Source organism: Homo sapiens, chromosome 3, assembly GCF_000001405.40.
Source record: "Homo sapiens chromosome 3, GRCh38.p14 Primary Assembly".
NCBI classification, from domain to species: Eukaryota; Metazoa; Chordata; class Mammalia; order Primates; family Hominidae; genus Homo; species Homo sapiens.
Genome location: NC_000003.12, coordinates 174,394,783 through 174,416,820, shown reverse-complemented (window position 1 = coordinate 174,416,820; position 22,038 = coordinate 174,394,783). Strand labels below are relative to the sequence as shown.

The following is a 22,038-nucleotide window of genomic DNA, read 5'->3' as shown; positions in this document are numbered from 1 at the left end:
CAGAGAGCTTAAGTAAGCTTCAAGAAAGACGGCTTGGACCTCCATGTCACCTGAAAATGTTGCATTAACAACACTCCCTTAGCCTCATGGGAGGAATTCTCCATTACCAGCTGATAGAGAAAGACAGTTTGAGTTTGATCCATGGATAGGTTGGCTTGATACATGGTTACCGGTGGAAAATGAACTGCTATTTTACTATACCCCTTACTTGGGAATGTCCCTGACAGACAGTTGTGAGGAAAATCCCTTAGGCAGAGTATCTGTCAGTTCATTTGGTCATTCATTTGTATAATAAGAAAAGTCGTCCAAACTAAGGGTATACGTGAACTCTTAGGCAATAGTTAATGGTTTAGCTCTCTGGTGAGAAGTCAGAAAGGAGTAAGATTGGAAGATTGGGATCAAGTAGGACTAGAAAAGAAGCATGTATTTAGACCTATGGGAGTGGGCACGTGGTGTGAGCATGTTTGTATTGCATGCTAACTCTCCCCACCCCCTTTTATGCCATTTCTCACTATATCTGCCAAATCATTTATACTGCAGAATCTTTTATATTTTTCACTGGACTGATTATATGAATGTAGTATTAATTAACATGTTTCTCCACACCCATGTTTTTGCAATAATTTGGCAGTAGATCCAGATTTGATTAGATTCATCTTTGCTTTTTTCTTTTTTTGGCAATAACAGACCATAGAGAGGTGATATAATCTGAACTTCCTATTGCATCAGGAAGAACATAATGTATTCTCTTATTTTTATTTAGGTTAAGATGGATCAAGTGTTGCCATCTATCCATTAAAAATTTTTCCCATCAATCTTTCATCTAATAGTTTTAGCATTTATTATTTAATTCAAGGTGCAAAGTGGTGATGTTTCAATTCTAATATTACTCCTGAATTTACTAGTTGTTATTCTTTTCTAAAGAGGAAATTTCATACATTTTTTGAGTATTCTGAAATACGGTCTTAATAGGAAAGACAGAATAAATGTTATCTTTTCTTCTTTTATTATTATAATAATGAGTTCTTGTCTTATTAATCATCAAAGCCAATATATGAATTTCCTTTTGAATATCATTATGAAGTTAAGAAGTTTCTTTATGAATATTATTATGATGTTAACATATATCTATATCTGTATATCTATATCAAGATATATATTTTGATCTATTGCTGTCATCTTTTATTACACTATTTGTTTCACGTTTGGCAAATGATGTTAGGAAATAAACTTTTTTTTAGAAAAAATACATTGAAAATCTTAAGTTTTGGTTTATTTCATAATTTATTTGATTTCATATTTGTATCTCTTTTCTGTTTCTTTGAAAATCCTTATTTTATAATGACATAAGTATATTATTCATTTGCTTTATCCTACCATAAGTATGTGTGTACATAAGGTATATAATAATGTACATGAAAATTTCAAAATAAGTTTGCATTTATAAATTAGAAATCTTAAGCCGTCACCAACTAAAAGGATCCCTTTTCGGCCAAGAGGACCCCAGAAAAACCTTAAAAACAGAATTCCTGTCTAAGACAGGAAGGGAGGTCAGATATGCATAATTATACCCATTCCCTTTTGGAATTTAGGCAAAACCACCAACCAGCATTAATGTTAAAACAGAGATCATAAGACTAACAAAATGGACTTTTTGTGACAATAAGATACCCAATTATAAACAGGACCTGAGGCCATGCCGGACAAGGGTTAAGTCACACACACTTACAGGTCACTCTGACCCAGTCAATTGGTTAACAGACTTTCTTATCATAAAAATACCTTTCTGCTAACTCCAAATTTTAAGACAAAGCTTTACTTCTTTACCCAATTCCAAATTGAAGAATTTCTGAATCTATCTATAACCTATAAGCCCCTGCTTCAAAATATCCCACTTTTTCAGACCAAACTAATGTATACCTTCCATGTATTGATTTATGTCTTTGTCTACAATTCCTGTTTACCTGAAATGTATAAAACCAAACCGACCACCTAAGGCACATTTTCTCAGGACCTCTTGAAACACAGTTTCAAGAGGCCATGGTCACTCATACTGGCTTAGAATAAGCCTCTCTAAAATATTTTACAGAGGTTGATTTTTCCATTAACAATAATAATACCAACATACCAAATACTGAAATAACGACACCAACATTACTACTAGCGTAATACCACTGAATACAATTTCAGTGTTTTTTCAGTTAGTTTTTCTGAGGATACAAGAATGTAGAGTCAGGATATTATGCTTTGGGATGCAGAGTCAAACTAACATGTTTGAAAGGTATTTGAAATAATTCTTGTCCATGCAGTTATGGTACCAACCAATATATACTTAGGTTTATTTTATTTATTTATTTATTTATTTATTTATTTATTTATTTATTATTTTGAGATGGAGTCTCACTCTGTTTCCCAGGCTGGAGTGCAGTGGGCTATCTAGGCTCACTGCAATCTCCGCCTCCTGGTTCTAGCCATTCTCCTGCCTCAGCCTCCCTGGTAGCTGGGATTAGAGGCATGAGCCACCATGCCCAGCTAATTTTTGTATTTTTAGTAGAGACGGGTTTTCACCATGTTGGCCAGGCTGGTCTCAAATTCCTGACCTCAAGTGATCCACCCGCCTCGGCCTCCCAAAATGCTGGCATTACAGGCATGAGCCACCACACCCAGCCTACTTAGGTTTATTTGTTTCACTTTGTTTTCAAATTTTGGGGATGGTTTGTTCTGTCATCCTTTGGACTTATTATTTTTTTGAAAATATGTGTGACATTTACATGATTCTGAATTCAAAACTGGGTTGTTTTTCCTATTTTCTCTTTGCTTATATAGGTAAACCATTTTTATTCATTTTTTACCTTTCATTATTTTGTATTTGAACCCAGGTAGCATGGTGCTTGAGTCTATGGTCTTAAACAAAATGTTAGACTTAAACTGCCTCATTAGAAATTATCAAACCCTTTTTTACAGGAAAGTGGGTGTTGTTGAAAATTGCATATATTTGTATCCAGTTCTTCTCAAGATCTAAACTTGGAAACTATCATTACAGGCCTCTCCATAAGTCCCACCCTCTACCTCCTCCTCCCAAATTTAAAACCACCAGGCAGTAGCTAAAAGCCTCTTTTATGGCTTTTTGTGTTCCAAAAGCTTATATCCTTAACCCACATACCTACTTTATAGATTCATAGCATGCAAGCTTTGCAGATATTCTTTTGAAGTTTGCATTTATAAGCCTTTGTGTACCAGCCTTAGTAAATTTCCATGTGACCTGTCTGAACTTCTTGAAGACAGAGTGTGAACAAACATTACAAGCTTTTTGTAAAAGAGAATGTAGGTTCCATGTAAAAGATTTTTCCTAAATCCTATTATATTCCCTTTAAACAAATTTCTCACAAAATTTCACTACCCCGGTACTATTTACATCTTTTTCCTTTCCTACTTTTGCTCCTACTATTCCCAGCATTTCTAACTTTGGACTTCTCAAAAAGTTCATTCAGTTCCCATGGCCCATTCAGCATAATAAAAGCCTGAGAGCTGACGAAATAGCTTTAGATAACAAAAGTGCTAAATCCAGGGTTGTTAGCAACATTCTAACCACCTATTGTTCTTTATAAATACCCCTGGGAGCCCTCAGTTTATCCTGTTACAGGCAAATTTTTTCATGACATTTGACCTCTTATCTTGGGAATACAGCCTAATGGAGTAATTCAAACTGGTACAATGAGTAATGCATAAAAATGTTTATTGCAAAAATTATATAATCATGAAAATATATTATCACACAAACATTCAACAAATGGATGGATAAATGGTGGTGCATATTTATATTAGGCTATTAAGGATTAGTTATATTATACTATAAAGACATTTTAATAACATCTAAAAGTTTTGGGGATGTACTGTTAAATGATAAAGTACAAAAAAACTGAACAAAAATGACAAAACATTAATAATGTTGTAGGGGTGAAGGGAATTTTCCCTTCTCCTTTTAAGGTGCATGTTGATGGAAAGACTCAAACTCTGTGAAATTTATTCTGAGCCAAATATGAGTGACCATGGCCCATGACACAGCCGTAGGAGATCCTAAGAACATGGGTCCAAGGTGATTGGGCTTGAATTTATACATTTTAGGGAGATACAAGACATCAGTTAATACATGTAAGATGTATTATGTATTTGTTTGGTTCGGAAAGATGGGACAACTCAAGGCAGGGGTGGGTGGAGGGGGTTGTGTGCAGGTCATAGGTGGATTCAAAGATTTTCTGATTGGCAATTGGTTGAGAGAGTTTATCTAAAGACTTAGAATAGACAGAAGGGAGTGTTTAAGTTAAGGTAAGGAATTGTGGAGACCAAGGTTCTTATTGCTTAGATGAAACCTCCAGGTAGCAGGCTTCAGAGAGAATAGATTGTAAATGTTTCTTATCAGACTTAAAAAGGTGCCTGAATCAGTTGTTCTCTCCTGGATCAGCACAAATATCTGGAAAAGGAAGAGGATTCTGTATAAAATGTATATTTTCTTTGCAAGAGACAGCTTTGCAGGGTCATTTCAAAATGTGTCAAAAAACCGTATTTTGGGGCAAAATAATTTCTTTTAGGGCCTACTGTCATGTTGGTATCTTATTGCTACAAAGAGTCTGTTATTGTCATTCTCATGGTCTATGTTTTAATGTTAATGCTAGTCAGCTCTGCCTGAATTCCAAAGGGAGGAAGGTAGAATGAGGCATGTCTGACAACTCATTACTCTCATGGCCTGAACTAGTGTTTCAGGTTAACTTCAGAATGCCCTTGGCTAAGAGGAGGAGTTTATTCAGTTGGTTGGGGGTGCTTAGAATTTTATTTTTGGTTTACATGTGAGTCTGCTGAAATAAACTGTCAATAGACTAACAGGAGAAAAAAAAAGCAAGTTTATTATATGCACAGGGAAATCACAGGGAAGTGATTTCCCAATGAGTCCAAGGTTGAGAAACTTATATGCCCTTTTGCATAGGGGAGAGGAAGATGGCAGAATATAGGCAATTTTGAGGAGTCTAAATGAATTTTAGAAAGATGAATGGGCCCAAAAAAAGAACAGACAATAGTGTGTCAATGATTCTTTTAGGAAATTGTATGGGACCTATAAACGGACAATAGCTTGTGACAAAGTCTGTTTAGGTGTGGTGACACTCCTCAGTCTTCCTTCCTGCCATATGATTTTAATCTTCCCTGGTTAATGAAATTTCAGGAGGCGATTGAAGGCAATTTTTTTCCTTCTGAAGAAGCTTCAGATAAGGGAACTTCAGAGAGAGTTTCAGCCTTCACTTAGGGAGAGAAGCAGGAGGTCAGAAAATCCTTGGTTCTGATGATGCTTCTGAAACCTTTTCATTTTCTGTAGTTCAAAGTGCTCAGCATGCCAAAGTGCCATACTTTGGGGTATCATTTTTCTGGTCCTCAACAATATTAACAGTAGTAATTTCTGTATATGCAAAGTATTCAAAAATGGATGTGTATCACTTTTATTAACAGTATACACACACATATACACACTAACCACAAAAGTATAAGGTTGTGAGATGGATGCTCAAGCTTTTTATGACTATAAGAGACTGATCTGAAGGACAATGGTCTACAGAGAAAAAAATGGGACTTATAGAGTGTTACGGTTTGAAGATGTGAGCTTCAAAGAAGACCAGTTTCAAATGAAGGCAGACAAAGTCAAGATGTGGAAAGAATAATGAGAGAGAATACAGTTGATACCTTGTCACCTCCTGGCCCTGTGGTAGCTGGGATATGAGAAAGTAGAACATACACTGGAGAAGTTACAGTGAAATTGGAGTTTTCAATAGAAAATTAGTTTTACTTAAGATAGCAGTTTTGAAACTTGAGTCATTCAAGATTTTTGTCATTTCTACTTTCTATGTATACTACTGATTTCTCATTGTTTCTCTTTAAGTCAATTTCTACCTTCCTCCCTTCTTTCTTTAATCAAAATACTTCCTTTAATTTCTTACATGACAATATATGTATGTGCAGACATGATGGATATATATTTTTTGAATATACATTAAAATAAAATGCAAGTATTAAAATTTAAATATTTATACATGGATAGTCTGAAATCATCTTTGGGAAACACTACTTTAAAATAAGAACGTGGAGAGAATTTTCTCTGAAGAGAACGAATATGCAGAAAAAAAAAATTGACAGTGGAATGGTGACCCCAGAGAACAAAGAAGAAGGGTTTGGAAGGCAGTCAACAAGAAGAGGAAAGATAGCTTGGAATGAGCAGAATAGATTTTCAAATGAAAGAACCGAGTAATATGCCAGGAAAGTCTGCATTTTGGGTAGATAAAAAAGCATGAATAAAAGTATCTGATTTACAACCACTCAAGTTTAGCTAAAGTTATCTTGGACAATGCTAGGTCTAAGAACAGGTAGCATGGACCCTGCAGATATTATGTCCTTAGAGCTTGGTGGGAAATGCCTTTGTATCTGAATGGTACAATGACTTCATGTAGTAACTGAGCCCTGAGCTAGTCAAAGGCAATGTCAAACTGTTGGCTAAAATTCTTTCCTGGTTTCAAATTTCCTCTCAAGGTATTTATTTCATAACACAGCTAGGGTCAATATTTTACATGGTCCCAAGAATGTGCAGCTAATTTTGAAATGGAAAGGAGAGGAAGGTTATACCCACCTCTTTGGAAGAAACAATTGGATATATCAGTTATTTAACAAAAAATGCCAGAGGTTTCTGGTTTTCTATACCCTGAGGTGCTATGTTACATATGTACCTAAAAGATACGGGAAGAAAAAGAAGGAAGAAAATGAGTAATACTCCCCATATTAAGTAAAAATTATCTTTAAAGCTGTTAATGATATTTGAATCAGTGACCTAGAGCCCATCTCATTAGGGAACGAACAATTTAATAACTATACTTCCACAGTCCATCAGCCTAAAGACATAAAAAAGAAATCAATAATGCAGCAAAAAGGAAAACAATAGAAATGCACAATTATTTCTGGCTGAAGCCTTCAGTAAATAATTTCAAGAATTGTAGTATTGCTCAAATCACTTCCTTTTCTAATATGCTACCATTTTTGTCCTTACTATAGCTTCAGTACAAACTTCTTTTTCTCTGTGTGAGTGACTCAAATATGATCACATCTCTGTTTATCCTCACCTTAACTCCATCCTTTTCTTTGAATGTAGGGTTTCTCTCTTAAAGTGGCTGATGCTATCAATGAGTGTTACACTGAGCCACTGTGTGTTTCAGGCTCAAGATACAGCCATTCTCCCCTCAGGCTAGTCAATCAGTTCAAGCCACTGAACTGTGACCAAGCCATGTAATGATTTTTCTCAGCGCTGTGAGACGAGACTGTTAACACCCATCTTCATCCAAATGCCATGGCAAAGATGAGGCTGCCTTTTCTCTTTTTGGAGTTGGAATATTTTTACTTTTCTCTCATTCCTGTCACCTTCTATTTTAATCTCCCTCCCTTAAGGCTCAGGACAAATCCCTGGAATACTTCTCCACCATTTATTTAATTATTCACTTAGTCACCTAACAAATATTTATTTATTGAGCCACTATTCTGTGTCAACTCTTCTTCTGGTTAATGAACACACAGCAGTCAACAAGACAGAAAATTTCCTCCTCGCAAGAAAATTATATTTTTGTAAGCAAATAAAATAATATTCAGTGACATGAACAAAATAAAAAATAGTGCCTGCAAATGGTTAATAAATCAGCTATTATAACTGTCTTATTTCTATAGTATTTATTTTTGGCTCTAATCTATTAAAGTTAATATTCATTTCAATATATCAGTAGATCCAAATATTTGGGACTAGGTGTATTTCTTTTATTTGCCCATGAATGAGATTGGGCTTTTTCCCTCATGTTTCTTCTTGCAGCTGAGCAGTGGCATTTATCGTGGTAACTAGAAGTTTCCTACTCCAAGATTACTCTGGAGTCAGTGCTTGCAGGATCTCTCTCTCTCTCTTTTTTTTTTTTTTTTTTTTTTTTGAGACGGAGTTTTGCTCTTGTTGCCCAGGCTGGAGCACAGTGGCACGATCGAGGCTCACCACAAGCTCCGCCTCCATGGTTCAAGCGATTCTCCTGCCTCAGCCTCCCGAGTAGCTGGGATTATAGGCGCGCGCCACCACGCCCGGCTAATTTTTGTACTTTTAGTAGAGACGGGGTTTCTCCATGTTGGTCAGGCTGGTCTTGAACTCCGACTTCAGTTGATCCGCCCACCTCGGCCTCCCAAAGAGTGGGGATTACAGGCGTGAGCCACCGCTCCGGCCTGATCTCTCTCTTCTTGTTAGCTCTCCAGGTCCTAGGGTTTCCTCTGTTGCCAAAACATTCCATTTGTGAGTCACTCACTGCTCTGTTACCAGTATTTGGCTCTACTGCCTGAGGCCCAGCTTCTTCCCTCTTTCTACCCCCAACCTCTTTCGTTTCTGGTTTAAAATTTTCTCTTTTGATTGGCGTTCCACTGAGATACACTTTCACCCACCAGCACTTTTTGAAGACATGTTCTAAAATCAGGTAAGGGGTATACAGTACAATCAGTATTATAGTAATTCCCTTTTCCATGGATGCAATTCTATCCTCATTCTCTCCAATGCCTATCTCTTTAAAGAACAGCTTAGCTATCTGCATTAAAGAGCTGGATGGCAAATGTTAACCAGTACCGGTTATGGACTCAAACTGACTGGGTTCCAATTCCATTTCTACAACTTATTAGATATGTACATTTGGATGGAAAAAATAAGTTAGCCGTTTTAAACCTTATTTACCTCATGAATATATATGCCCTGGGGAATGGTGAGAACTCCAAGTGGTGGAGAGTGAGCTTTTCTCCAATCTTGCCCTCTAACTAGAGAACTAGGTGAGAGTAAAGAGAAAAGTAAAGGGGTAGAGTATAGGCATATTCTGCTTTCTGAACAAGAATGCTTGAGGGCTTGTCTGCTGTTTGTGGCTGAATAGGTACTTAGGAGGTAAACTTGACCCACAGTGACAAAGACACATACATAGTTTCCAGGATTTCCAACAAGGCAGAGAAATAGAGAGTATGAATGACCTGAGAAAGTCAAGGACAGAAATAGAGAGTATGAATGACCTGAGAACGACAGGGTGATGACACTTTGGTGAATACCGGCATGGATACATTATTCAAAAACACTTTGGGCTTTCCATCCCTGCTTCTGTGCTTTAACCCAGCATTTGAATGTGTCAGGTATCCATCGAACTTCTAGAGGTAGATTGCCTGGGTTTGGATTTGGACTTTGTCATTTATTGGTTCTGTGACCTTAGACAAATAATTTATTCCCCTTGTACCTCAGTTTCCTGATTTTTTAAATAGAATTAAACACATTCCCTACTTCAAAGAATGATTTTCAGGATCTCTATGGTTCTAATATTTTGGAATTTTGAACACAAAATCCAAATTTCATGTGTTGGAAACTTAATCTCCAATGCCACAAAATTGTAAGGTGGAGCCTAATGCTAGGTATTTGTGGTAGGTATTTGGGTCATGAGGGCTCCACCCTCATGCATGAGTTAACGTTGTTATCTTGGGAGTGGGTTGTTACTGTGGGAGTGGGTTTTTTATAAAAGTAGGTTTCACCTCATCTTGGCCTCTTTTGCTATCTCTTGCCATGTGATAACACAGCAAGAAGACTCTCGCTAGATGTGTCCCCTTGATCTGGGCTTTTCAGCCTCCAGAACCATGAGCCAAATATATTTCTGTTCATTTCAAATTACCCAATCTGTGGTATTCTATTGTAGAAGCATAAAATAGACTAAGACAAAGATTAAAAGGGTAAATATAGCTAAAATGCTTAGAACTGTGGCTGGAATGTAGTAAGCACCATATAAATGTTTGGTACTATGTTAGGGGTCCCAAAGACTACCCTCAAGACTCAGAAAAGCTGTTATCTACAGATTTACAGTTTATTATAGCAAAAGGAAACATTAAAATCAACAAAAGAAAAAGGTGCCTAGGATAAGGTCTAGGCGAAACTAAGTACAAATTTTCAGGTGCCCTCTCCCAGTGGAATTGCATGGATATACTTAATTATCTCAGAAATGATGTATGACAATACATATTGCTATGATTTGAATGCCCTTTTCAGAACTCATGTTGAACTTTAATTGTCATTGTAACAGTATTAAGAGGCAGGGTTTTTAAGAGTGATAAGTCATGGGGGCTCTACCCTCATGAATGGATTAATCATTATCATGGGAGTGGCTTTGTTATAAATATAAGCTCTCTCACATATTCTCTTGCTCTTCTGCTCTTTCATCATGGAATAATAAACAAGAAGACCCTTACCAGATACTAGCACCATGCTGTTGGACTTCTCAGTCTCCAGAGCTGTGAATCAAGTAAACTTGTTTTCCTTACAAATTTCCCAGTCTATGGTGTTCTGATATAGCAATAAGAAACAAACTAAGACACATGCAAAGTATTTCCAACCAGGGAATCTCACCAGAACCGTGATGTCCAGGATTTCTATTGGAAATCAGTCATGTATGGATGCAGTACCTAAGTGACCAACCACAGATACTGAGTTAGATTACAACATCCCAGAACAAAAAGGGGCATTTACCATAAATCTCATTTTTAGCATAAGCTATCTCATCAAACTGGTACTGTATTGCTAAATGCCTAAGATATACAAAACGTCTTTTATTAGGAAGAATATTTCCAGGGGTCAGAGTTCATTTACCAGGAGTTGGCCAAGGGCCAGTCTTGAAAAGATTTTTGGGAATGTACAGGGTTAGAGCAAGGCAGGCCTGCAAATCAACATTTGCACAATAGTTTTCCTACACAGCTGCAATTACTATTATTGCCATAATGTTACCTAGTACTTTGTCTATACCTTGAGGAAAGGGAGAGCCCCAAATTAATTGTTATAACATTTCTGTCAACCAGGTGGCAGAAAGTTCTAATTAAAAGATGAATTATAGAAAAGATACAGATTTTTGAATTATGAGCTGCTACACAAACTGTTATTGTTGCTATTCTAGGATTCCTGACAGGAGGTAGACAGTTACCCTAGTTTTTACCTAAGATACAGGATGCTTAGGAAAAACTTCAGTAACAGGGCTTATATACATATATATATATATATATATATATATATATATATATATATATATATATATATATTTTTTTTTTTTTTTTTTTTTTTTTTTTTTGAGATGGAGTCTCGCTGTCGCCCAGGCTGGAGTGCAGTGGCGCGATCTCGGCTCACTGCAGGCTCCGCCCCCCGGGGTTCACGCCATTCTCCTGCCTCAGCCTCCTGAGTAGCTGGGACTACAGGCGCCCGCCACCTCGCCCGGCTAATTTTTTGAATTTTTAGTAGAGACAGGGTTTCACCGTGTTAGCCAGGATGGTCTCGATCTCCTGACCTCGTGATCCGCCCGCCTCGGCCTCCCAAAGTGCTGGGATTACAGGCGTTAGCCACCACGCCCGGCCTGGGCTCATATATTTCAAATCCTCCACTCTCATACTTGGGAGAAAAGGGAAAGGAGAAGCTTAACCAGCTCTGTGAGTGTGCTCAACTTTTTTCTGCCTGAGAGTCTTTGAACATACTATTCTGTCTCTTTCAAGTTCCTTCTTTGCTTATTCACTCTGTTAAAGTGGTGGACTATTTCTTGAGTTTCACACCTTGGCTTTAGGGGAACTTCCCCTAACCATCCTCTTCATTGTCTTCTTTTCCTACACCCTGTCTGCTTCATAGCACTCATCACCATTAGTAATTGTGTACTCATTTATTTTCTTGGTTATTGTCTCTCTCTCCCACTAGGTTTAAGATCTGCATGGCAGAGAGCCTGTCATCATTTTTGTTCTCTTCTCAATACTCAGTGTTCATCATCATGCCAGGCCCAGAGGCTCAATAACTTTGTTTATGGTTTTGTAATAAGATAGGCCATTGCCTCACGTGAGTTCATACTATATCAATCCATTTTTCTTAGATCAGGGACAAAAAGGATTAATTTTGCCTGTTAATCTAATACATTATTATTAAATTTGCAGGACTAGACAAGTTACGCAAAACAGAATAGGGTGACAGGTGAAGTTTGAGGGAGTTCCTAGTTAAACTGTAGTTGAACAGATATAAAAGGCAGTGTTTTCCCATATAAAATAGAATTATTTTGTTTCCAATGATGTAAAAACAATGTCTAAATTTAAAGAAAAATAAATGGATAAAGTTATAATAAAACAATGTTTGGCTGAAAATTTAATATATTTGTGCACTGACGATTTTTAAGTCAGAATAATTTTGCATTCTGTAAACTGGGGAATCTAGTCAAATGTTTAACTTAACAGTGTTTTTATCAAGTTAATATACTTTTATACACGTGTACACTGGTATGCTATTAATTTTCCCTTGATGTTTTTATTCCATAATGAAAACTGGGGAATGTGTGGTAGGTAAGGATGAAAGAAAAGCCATGGAGGAGAAATTAGGTACGCTTTTGTGTTCTCATTCTCTGTATCTGTTGGAATACTTTTACTCTTCACTTTCATTAGCAAATACAAGTAAAATTTATCGGTGAAAATATTAATTTGTATTTAAATTTCCAAATCTATCCTCTCCTTAATTTATCAAATAATTCACTATGATACAAACTACAAAATGTTACCAGGAATTCCTGTGATTCTTGGATAACAAGAGAAAATATTTTCAATTGAAATATCATACTTACAGTGAATCTTTTTTTCACTTTCTGTTCTCTTGATGGGAACAAAGGACTAAACAGCAATTGCAGTCCTAGGTCACAACAGAAGCACCTCCCTAAGAATTCCTGTTGTACAATGGTGGCTTTGTACCCACAGCTCTGGAAGGGTAGGAAACAATCTGACTGTGTGTTTAGAAGTCAAGGATAATTACATCTATAATTTGCATAACAATGATATTTCATGAAAACTGTAACATGAAAACTCCCATATTAAACAATTTTTCCTTTAGTTTAAATGGGAAAATTTATTATGTGTTCCATCTCATCCTAAGGTAACCAAAGATGCTCACAAATAGAAAAGGATGTAAGCTGGGCACTGTGGCTGACACCTGTAATCCCTGCACTTCGGGAGGCCAAGGTGGGCAGATCATGAGGTCAGGAGATTGAGACTATCCTGGCCAACATTGTGAAAACCCGTCTCTCCTAAAAATACAAAAATTAGCTGGGCATGGTGGTGTGTGCCTGTAATCCTAGCTACTTGGGAGGCTGAGGCAGGAGAATTGCTTGAAACAGGGAGTCAGAAGTTGCCGTGAGCTGAGATTGCGCCATAGCACTCCAGCCTGGTGACAGAGCGAGACTTCGTCTCAAAAAAAAAAAAAAAAAAAAAAAAAAAAAGAAAAAGAAAAAACCAAAAGCATGTCAATTAAACAAGTTAATAAAAGTAACAATAAAATATTCAAAAGCAAGTATAGTTTGTACCTAAATGCAGTGAACTAAGGTTTATTGTATCTGCCAAAGGAGAGAAAGAAAATTTGATAGAATGGTAGAAGAGTGCCAAAAAAAAAAGTAATTTTTTAGGGGGTGTATACCATTTTTAAAAACCGTTTTTCCTAGTTTTCCTTGAAGAGGTCCTTCACTTCCCTTGTTAGCTGTATTACTAGATATTTTATTATTTCTGTGGCAATCGCAAATGGGAATTCATTCATGATTTGGCTGTAGGCTTGTCTGTTGTTGGCATATAGGAATGCTCATAATTTTGGGGCATTGATTTTGTATCCTGAGACTTTGCTCAAGTTGCTTATCCATTTAAGAAGCTTTTGGGCTGAGACGATGGGGTTTTCTAGATATAGGATCATATTATCTGCAAGCAAAGATAGTTTGACTTCCTCTCTTCCTATCTGAATACACTTTATTTCTTTCTCTTGCCTGATTGCCCTGGCCAGAACTTCCAATTCTATGTTGGATAGAGTGGTGAGAGAGGGCAACCTTATGTTGTGCTGGTTTTCAAGGGGAATGCTTCCAGCTCTTGCCCATTCAGTATGATATTGACTGTGGTTTTTCATATATGACTTATTATTTTGACTTCCGTTCCTTCAATACCTAGTTTATTGAGAGTTTTTAACATGAAGGGATGTTGAATTTTATCGAAGGCCTTTTCTGCATCTGTTGAGATAATCATGTGATTTTTGTCTTTAGTTCTGTTAATGTGATGAATCACATTATTGATTTGCGTATGTTGAACCAAGCTTGCATCCTGAGGATGAAGCCTACTTGATGGTGGTGGATAAGCTTTTTGATGTGCTGCTGGATTTGGCTTGCCGTATTTTATTGAGGATTTTTGCATCAATGTTCATCAAGGATATTGGCTTGAAGTTTTCTTTTATTGTTGTACCTCTGCCAGGTTTTGGTATCAGTATGATGCTGGCTTCATACAATGAGTTAGAGAGGAGTCCCTACTTGTCAATTGTTTGGCATAATTTCAGTAGAAATGGTACCAGTTCTTCTTTGTACCTCTGGTAGAATTCAGCTGTGAATTTGTCTGGTCATGGGCTTTTTTGGGTTGGTAGGCTATTTATTACTGCCTCAATTTCAGAACTCATTATTATTGGTGTATTAGGGATTCAATTTCTTCCTAACTTAATTTTGGGAGTGTGTACATAGTAGGAATGTATCTACGTCTTCTAGATTTCCTAGTTTATGTGCATAGAGATGTGTGTGGGATTCTCTTCATGGTTGTTTGTGTTTCTGTGGGGTCAGTGGTGATATCCCCCTTATCATTTCTGATTGTGTTTATTTGAATATTCTCTCTTTTTTTCTTTATTAGTCTAGCTGGTGGTCTATCTATTTTGTTAATAATTTAAAAAGCAGCTCCTGAATTCGTTGATTTTTTGAAAGGTTTTTTATGTCTCTATCTCCTTCCGTTCAGGTGCGATCTTGGTTATTTCTTGTCTTCTGCTAGATTTAGGGTTTATTTGCTCTTGGTTCTTTAGTTCTTTTAGTTGTGATGTTAGGTTGTTAATTTAAGATCTTTCTAGCTTTTTGATGTGGGCAGTTAGTGCTATAAGTTTCCCTCTTAACACTGTGTTAGTTGTGTCCTAGAGATTCTAGCACATTGTATCTTTGTTCTCCTTAGTTCCAAATAACTTCTTGGTTTCTGCCTTAGTTTCATTATTTACCCAAGAGTCATTCAGGAGCAGGTTGTTTAATTTCCATGTACTTGTGTGGTTCTGAGTGATTTTCTTAATCTTGAACTCTAATTGATTGTGTTGTGGTCTGAGAGGCTGTTTGTTATAATTCCAGTTCTTTTGCATTTGCTGAGGAGAGTTTTACTTCCGATTATGTGATCAATTTTAGAGTAAGTGCCATGTGGTGATGAGAAGAGTGTATATTCTGTTGTTTTTGGGTGGAGAGTTCTGTAGATATATATCAGGTCTGCTTGATCCAGAGCTGAGTTCAGGTCCTAAATATCTTTGTCAATTTTCTCTCTTGATGATCTGTCTAATACTGTCAGTGGAGTGTTAAAGTCTCCCTCTATTATTGTGTGTCCAAGTCTGTTTGATGGTCCCTAAGAACTTTATTTATGAATCTGGGTGCTCCTATATTGAGTGCAAATATATTTAGGATAGTTAGGTCTTCTTGTTGAATTGAACGCTTTACCACTATGCAATGCCCTTCTCTGTCTATTTTGATTTTGTTGGTTTAAAGTTTGTTTTATCAGAGATGACATAAACAAATGGAAAAACATTCCATTTTCATGGATAGGAAGAATCAATATTGTGAAAATGGCCATACTGCCCAAAGCATTTTATAGATTCAATGCTATTCTCATTAAACTACCATTGACACTCTTCACAGAATTAGAAAAAACTACTTTAAAATTCATATGGAACCAACAAAGAGTTCAAATAGCCAAGATGATCTTAAACAAAAAGAAGAAAAACAAACCTGGAAGCATCACACTACATAACTTCAAACTATACTACAAGGCTATAGTAACCAAAACAGCATGGTACTGGTACAATAATAGATACATAGACCAATGGAACATAATAGGGAACCCAGAAATAAGATCACACAGCTAAACCCATCTGATCTTTGACAAACCTGACAAAAACAAGCAATGGGGAGAGGATTTCCTATTTCATAAATGGTGCTGGGAGAACTGGCTAGCCATATGTAGAAAATTGAAATGGGACCCCTTCCTTACACCATATACAAAAGTCAACTTAAGATGGATTATGGATTAAAGGGTTTAATGTAAAAACAAAAGTATAAAAAACTAGAAGAAAATCTAGGCAATTTTATTGAGGCCATGGTCACAGGCTAAGATTTCATGATGAAAACACCAAAAGCAATTGCAACATAAGCAAAAGTTGACAAATGGGATCCTAAACTAAAGAGCTTCTGTACAGTGAAAGAAACTATCACAACAGTGAACAAACTATAGAATGGGAGAAAATTTTTGCAATCTATGTGTCTGAAAAAGTTCTAGTACCCAGAATCTACAAGCAAACTTAAGCAAACTTACAAGAAAAAAGCAAACAATCCCGTTATAAAGTGGGGAAAGGACAGAAGCAGACACATCTCAAAAGAAGACATACATGCAGCCAACAAACACATGAAAAAAAGGCTCAACATCACCAATCATTAGAGAAATGAAAATCAAAACCACAGTGAGATATGATCTGACACCAGTCAGAATGGCAATTATTAAAAAGCCAAAAAACAACAGATGCTGGCAAGGTTGTGGAGAAAAAGGAATGCTTTTACACTGTTGGTGGGAGTGTAAATTAGTGCAATCATTGTGGAAGACAGTGTGGCAATTCCTTAAAGATATAGAGACAGAAATACCATTTGACCCAGCAATCCCATTACTGGGTATATATCCAAAGAAATATAAATCCTATTACTGGGTATATGCCCAAAGAAATATACATTTATATAAATTATCTTATATAGATTTCATTTACATAAAATAAATATAAATGAAATATAAATATAAATATACACAAATCTAACAATGTGGGACAATTCTTGGTTGTGTAGGACACCTTACAGCCCTGACTTTGAACCAATGAATACTGGTAACTTCTACAAATTATGGGACAAACTACTTCCTCTGCCACTTCCCCCAAAGTTCAAAAACATTCCCTAGATGGCAGTACTGCTTTCATGAAAAACCACTGATTTTATCCACGAATGCCATTAAGAGCAGTAGTAATTAGATAGAAAAGATATATCATCAAGAGAAGAGAAAAGTGCTAAAATAGCACAAGTATATAATGTGGATTAATAAATCTCTGATCACCATTTTCCCTCACTACGAAGAAGAAACAATAAGAAACACTGTACTTTGTACATAGACATTGTCTTGGAGAGGTATTTGGAATGGTAACAAATGTCTGAGAAGCTAGAAATTTTACCTATAAAAAATGAGACCTAATGATATTGTTTAAATTATTATATAGGACTAAAGTTACTGTATTGGACTGATTTCCTTTTACCATTACACATTAGGTTAGGACTTTTGTTTCATACACCTCAGCTCCCCCCAAGAAATAGTTATTAAAAGTTGAAATGTTCCAAGGAATAACACAAAGGCGAATTACTGTATAGAGGCTTCCTGTGACTTTAGGGAGCACAATTTTCATGGAGTTATGTGTTGCCATGGGAGATGTTGTTGGGAGATGAAGATATGGAGCCAAGCAAGCCGGGCTGTGAAAAGTGGAAAAATAATAGCATACTAGCTAGTGAGAGCTAAGAAGCAGAGAAGTATATTTTGTTTTTGAAGATGGCAAAATGTAGACATGTTTATATGCTAAGGGGAAAGAATCAGCGAAAGGAAATAATTGAGATAATGCAGAATTGAGCTCATCATTGAAGAGTACATTCCTTGGACACACAGTATGATGAGATAAGAAGCCATGATGAAGAAAATTTCCTTGAATCACAAAAGGGAGCAGCCATGGGAATCAAACAAAACTATTTAGGAATTTGAAATCAACTGAAGGAAAAACTTGGGAATTTCCAACACATGTAATCATCAAATTTGAATTATATTTTGAGTAGATCTTCAGTAGGTTTACTAACATAGTTTCAAGTAACTCTTTATACTTGAATTGATTTAATTGAACATTTAATTTTATCACATATAAATAAAATAGCAGGAATCATAAAAGTACAGCTCATTTTATTTTTAGAAACTGAACAAACGGTCAAGAGACAGAATGCTACCAGTACCCCAGAAGTTTCCTCTTGCCCAATCCTAGTCTCAACCCCCCGCCACCAAGGACAATCACTAACCTGACTGCTAACCCATATATTAGTTTTGCATGTTTTTGAACTTTATAAAACTCATGGAATCATAAAATACATACTGTATTGTAAGTGACTTCTGCTCAACATGTTTCTGGGATTTGTTGTGTGTAGTTGTATTTTTTTTTTCATTTTCTTGCTGCATAGTATACCACTGTCTATACATACACCCAATGTATTTATTCATTCTACTTTTGATTGGCTGGCATTTGGGTAGCTTCCAGTTTGGGATATTACAAGTACTGCCACTATGAACATTTTTGGTCTTGTTTTTTGGTTTACAAATTTACACATTTCCATTCAGTATACACTTAAAAATGGTAATGGAGGGTAAATTAGGCTTTTCTAAAATATTTTTTAGAGATAGGGTCTTGCCATGTTGCCCAGGCTGGACTCAAATGATCCTCTTATCTCAGCCTCCCAAATAACTGTGACTACAGTGGCATACCATCATGCTGGCTTTTTGTTTTTTTTACCTGCCAAAATTTGTTGGTTCATTTTACTAGCATGGAGAGACAGTGACATCTGGTGTATGAAATAATAAATTTCAGGTCTTAGTGTATGTTTGAAATTTAAGGAATCTACTCTTAAAGGTAGTCTGGGTGTTATAAGAATCCATACATAGAATGAGTTTATAGTTCTGTTTCTACTATTAAAATTAATCTAATTTTTTTTCACTTTGAACACATAAAGAATTTGGGAATTTTAAATCTTTTTACATTTATAGAGACAGGGTTTTGCTATGTTGCCCAGGCTGGTCTCAAACTCCTAGTCTCAAGCAATCCACCTGCCTTGGCTTCCCAAAGTGCTAGGATTACAGGTGTGAGCCACTGCACCCAGCCCAGAATTTGGTGTATGAGTCAGGGTTCTTTAGAGGGACAGAACTAATAGGATGGATAGATAGATAGATAGATAGATAGATAGATAGATAATAGATATAAAGGGGAGTTTAGTAAGTATCAACTCACGCCAATCACAAGGTCACACAACAGGCCATCTGCAAGCTGAGGAGCAAGTAAAGCCAGTTCGAGTCTCAAAACTGAAGAACTTGGAGTCCAATGTTTGAGGACAGGAAGCATCCAGCACAGGACAAAGATGTAGGCTGACAGCTAGGCCAGTCTAGTCTTTTCACATTTTTCTGCCTGCTTTATATTCTAGCTGTGCTGGCAGCTGATTAGATGGTGCCCACACAGATTAAGGGTGGGTCTACCTTCCCCAGCCCACTGACTCAAATGTTAATCTCCTTTGGCAACACCTTCACAGACACACCCAGAATCAGTACTTTGCATCCTTCAATCCAACCAAGTTGACACTCAGTATTAACCATCCCAAGTCCACTCCTTATCAACTTGAACCCATACACATCTCCTGAGATCATACATAATCTTTAAGTAAAGGCAATAATGTCATAATTATGGCAACATAACACAACTATCCTTCATACAACCAGAAACGCACCAATCCCCAACCCAAATGTTATTACATAAAGTTAATAATACTTAAATGCTGATATGAAGTCAATAATCTTATTAACATGACAAAGGAAAAAGGAAATAAAATATATTTTCTTAGTCCAAGTGTATGCATGTACAAACATGTTTTTAACAAAAGAAGGAGGAAATACTCATGACAATTACAGTCCTCATTTCTGCAGCTGGTCATGTGATTATAGCTGGTATTGATGACTACCTTCTTCTACTATCCATTCTGTATTCCCTTCGCCTTCAGCAAGCACCTCAGCAGGTCATGGTTTTTCTCCTGGTGGAGTGACCCAAACCTTCATTCATGAAGGGTCTGGGTCATTTGTAGTTCTGCCTGGATTGGGCTGTTGTAGTTTCCCATTTACCTTAATCACATGGCATGATAATACTAAGAGACACCCTAATGGATCCCCTGTATTCCATGCATACTCTTCCCTACCTCCATTGTGGAGGCCTTTACTGTGATTCTCCTATGGGGGCCTGCCAAAGGCTCCAAAAGAATCCCTATCTGCCACTGACATCTCAAGCACCGCTGGATCTGCTGGGTCATGTGGCTCAAGTGGCAGAGCAGCTTGCACAGCAGCCTGGACCTGTTGCTGAGCCTTCTCCTGTTCTGGACCACACTCAAAACTGGCAGCCTTTTGGGTTACTAGATAGATGGGCTGGAGTAACACACTCCAATGAGGAATGTGTTGTCTCCAAAATCCAAATAGGCCCACTAGGGCCTCTTTCTTGGTTGTGGGAAGGACCAAATGCAGCAACTTATCCTTCACCTTAGAAAGAATATCTTGATAAGCCCCACACCACTGGACCCCTAGAAATTTTACTGAGGGAGAAGATCCCAGAGTTTCAGTCAGATTTATTTCTCATCCTCTGGCATGCAAATGTCTCACCAATAAGTCCAGTGTGTTTGCTACTTCTTGCTCACTGGATGCCATCATCATAATGTCATCAATGTAATGCACCAGTGTGATATCTTGCAGAGGCAAAAAGCAATCAAGGTCTCTCTGAATAAGATTATGACACAAAGCCAGAGAATTGATATACCCCTGAGGTAGGACAGTAAGGGTATATATATATAAAGGGGAGTTTATTAAGTATTAACTCAGACAATCACAAGGTCCCACAATAGACTGCCTGCAAGCTGAGGAGCAAGGAAAGCCAGTCTGAGTCCTAAAACGGAAGAACTTGGAGTCAGATGTTCAAGGGCAGGAAGCATCCAGCACAGGAGAAAGATGTAGGCTGGGAGAAAGATGTAGGCTGGGAGGCTAAGCCAGTCTAGTATTTTCACATTTTTCTGCTTGCTTTATATTCTAGCTGCACCAACAACTGATTATATGGTGCCCACACGATTAAAAGTAGGTCTACCTTCCCCAGCCCACTGACTCAAACGTTAATCTCCTTTGGCAACACCCTCACAGACACACCCAGGATCAATACTTTTCATCCTTCAATCCAATCAAGTTGACACTCAGTATTAACCATCACATTTGGGAAGTTCATAAGTAATAGATAAAACCAAGTAATTAGACAAGATTAACAGAAGAAATGCTATTGTGATGTGCGCTAATGACAATTTTTGTACTGCAAATCACTACACTTAAAGTTGTCACATATTGAAAGATTTTTAGGATTGTGAAATACAACATTTGCATTCTAAAGTAACCTAGTGGGCCAGGTGTAGTAGCTCATGCCTATAATCCTAGCACTTTGGGAGACTGAGAGGCGAGGATTGCTTAAATTCATGAGCTTGAGACAAACCTGGGTAACACAGTGAGACCCATGTCTCTAAAAAAAAAAAAAAAAAAAAATACTAAAACAAAACTAACCCAATGAAATCTGAACAAAATGAAATATAAACTGTATGTTTTTAAGGTAACAAGAAAGTAAAACAAATTTATATATTGGAATTCTTTGGAATTCAACTAACGGAGCTCTCTGTTCCTTTGTAAATTTTCTACCTCTGTTGAAAGAGATAAACTTTTTTTAATGACAATATATGATTAGGAAAAATGTATGTCCATTCCATTTTGTGGTTTTTCTCTGATCTTTGCTGTCAAAAAACAAACAAACAAACAAGCAAAGAACAGGTGGATGATTCATGTCAAGTATGTCCTTTAAGGCATTATTTGCATTCACATTTACAGTTCTTGAAAGATCATACTGTTTTCTTCTTTGACATCATGAAGCTCGTAAGTCAAGGTTTATCACACTGAAACATAATGCTCTTCAATATTTATTTCATAAATGTTTATCATAACCTCTTATCTGCCAGGCATATTAACTAGTGGCAT

The 22,038-nt window shown here is 36.8% G+C and overlaps 1 annotated feature.

Annotated features, from left to right (window-relative positions):
• Nucleotides 3,243-3,854: an enhancer, noted in NCBI's record as "OCT4-NANOG hESC enhancer chr3:174130757-174131368 (GRCh37/hg19 assembly coordinates)". NCBI's record gives its function as "activates a minimal SCP1, AML or CMV promoter by ChIP-STARR-seq in naive H9 embryonic stem cells {active_cell/tissue: H9 hESC(naive)}" and the evidence as "EXISTENCE:reporter gene assay evidence [ECO:0000049][PMID:30033119]".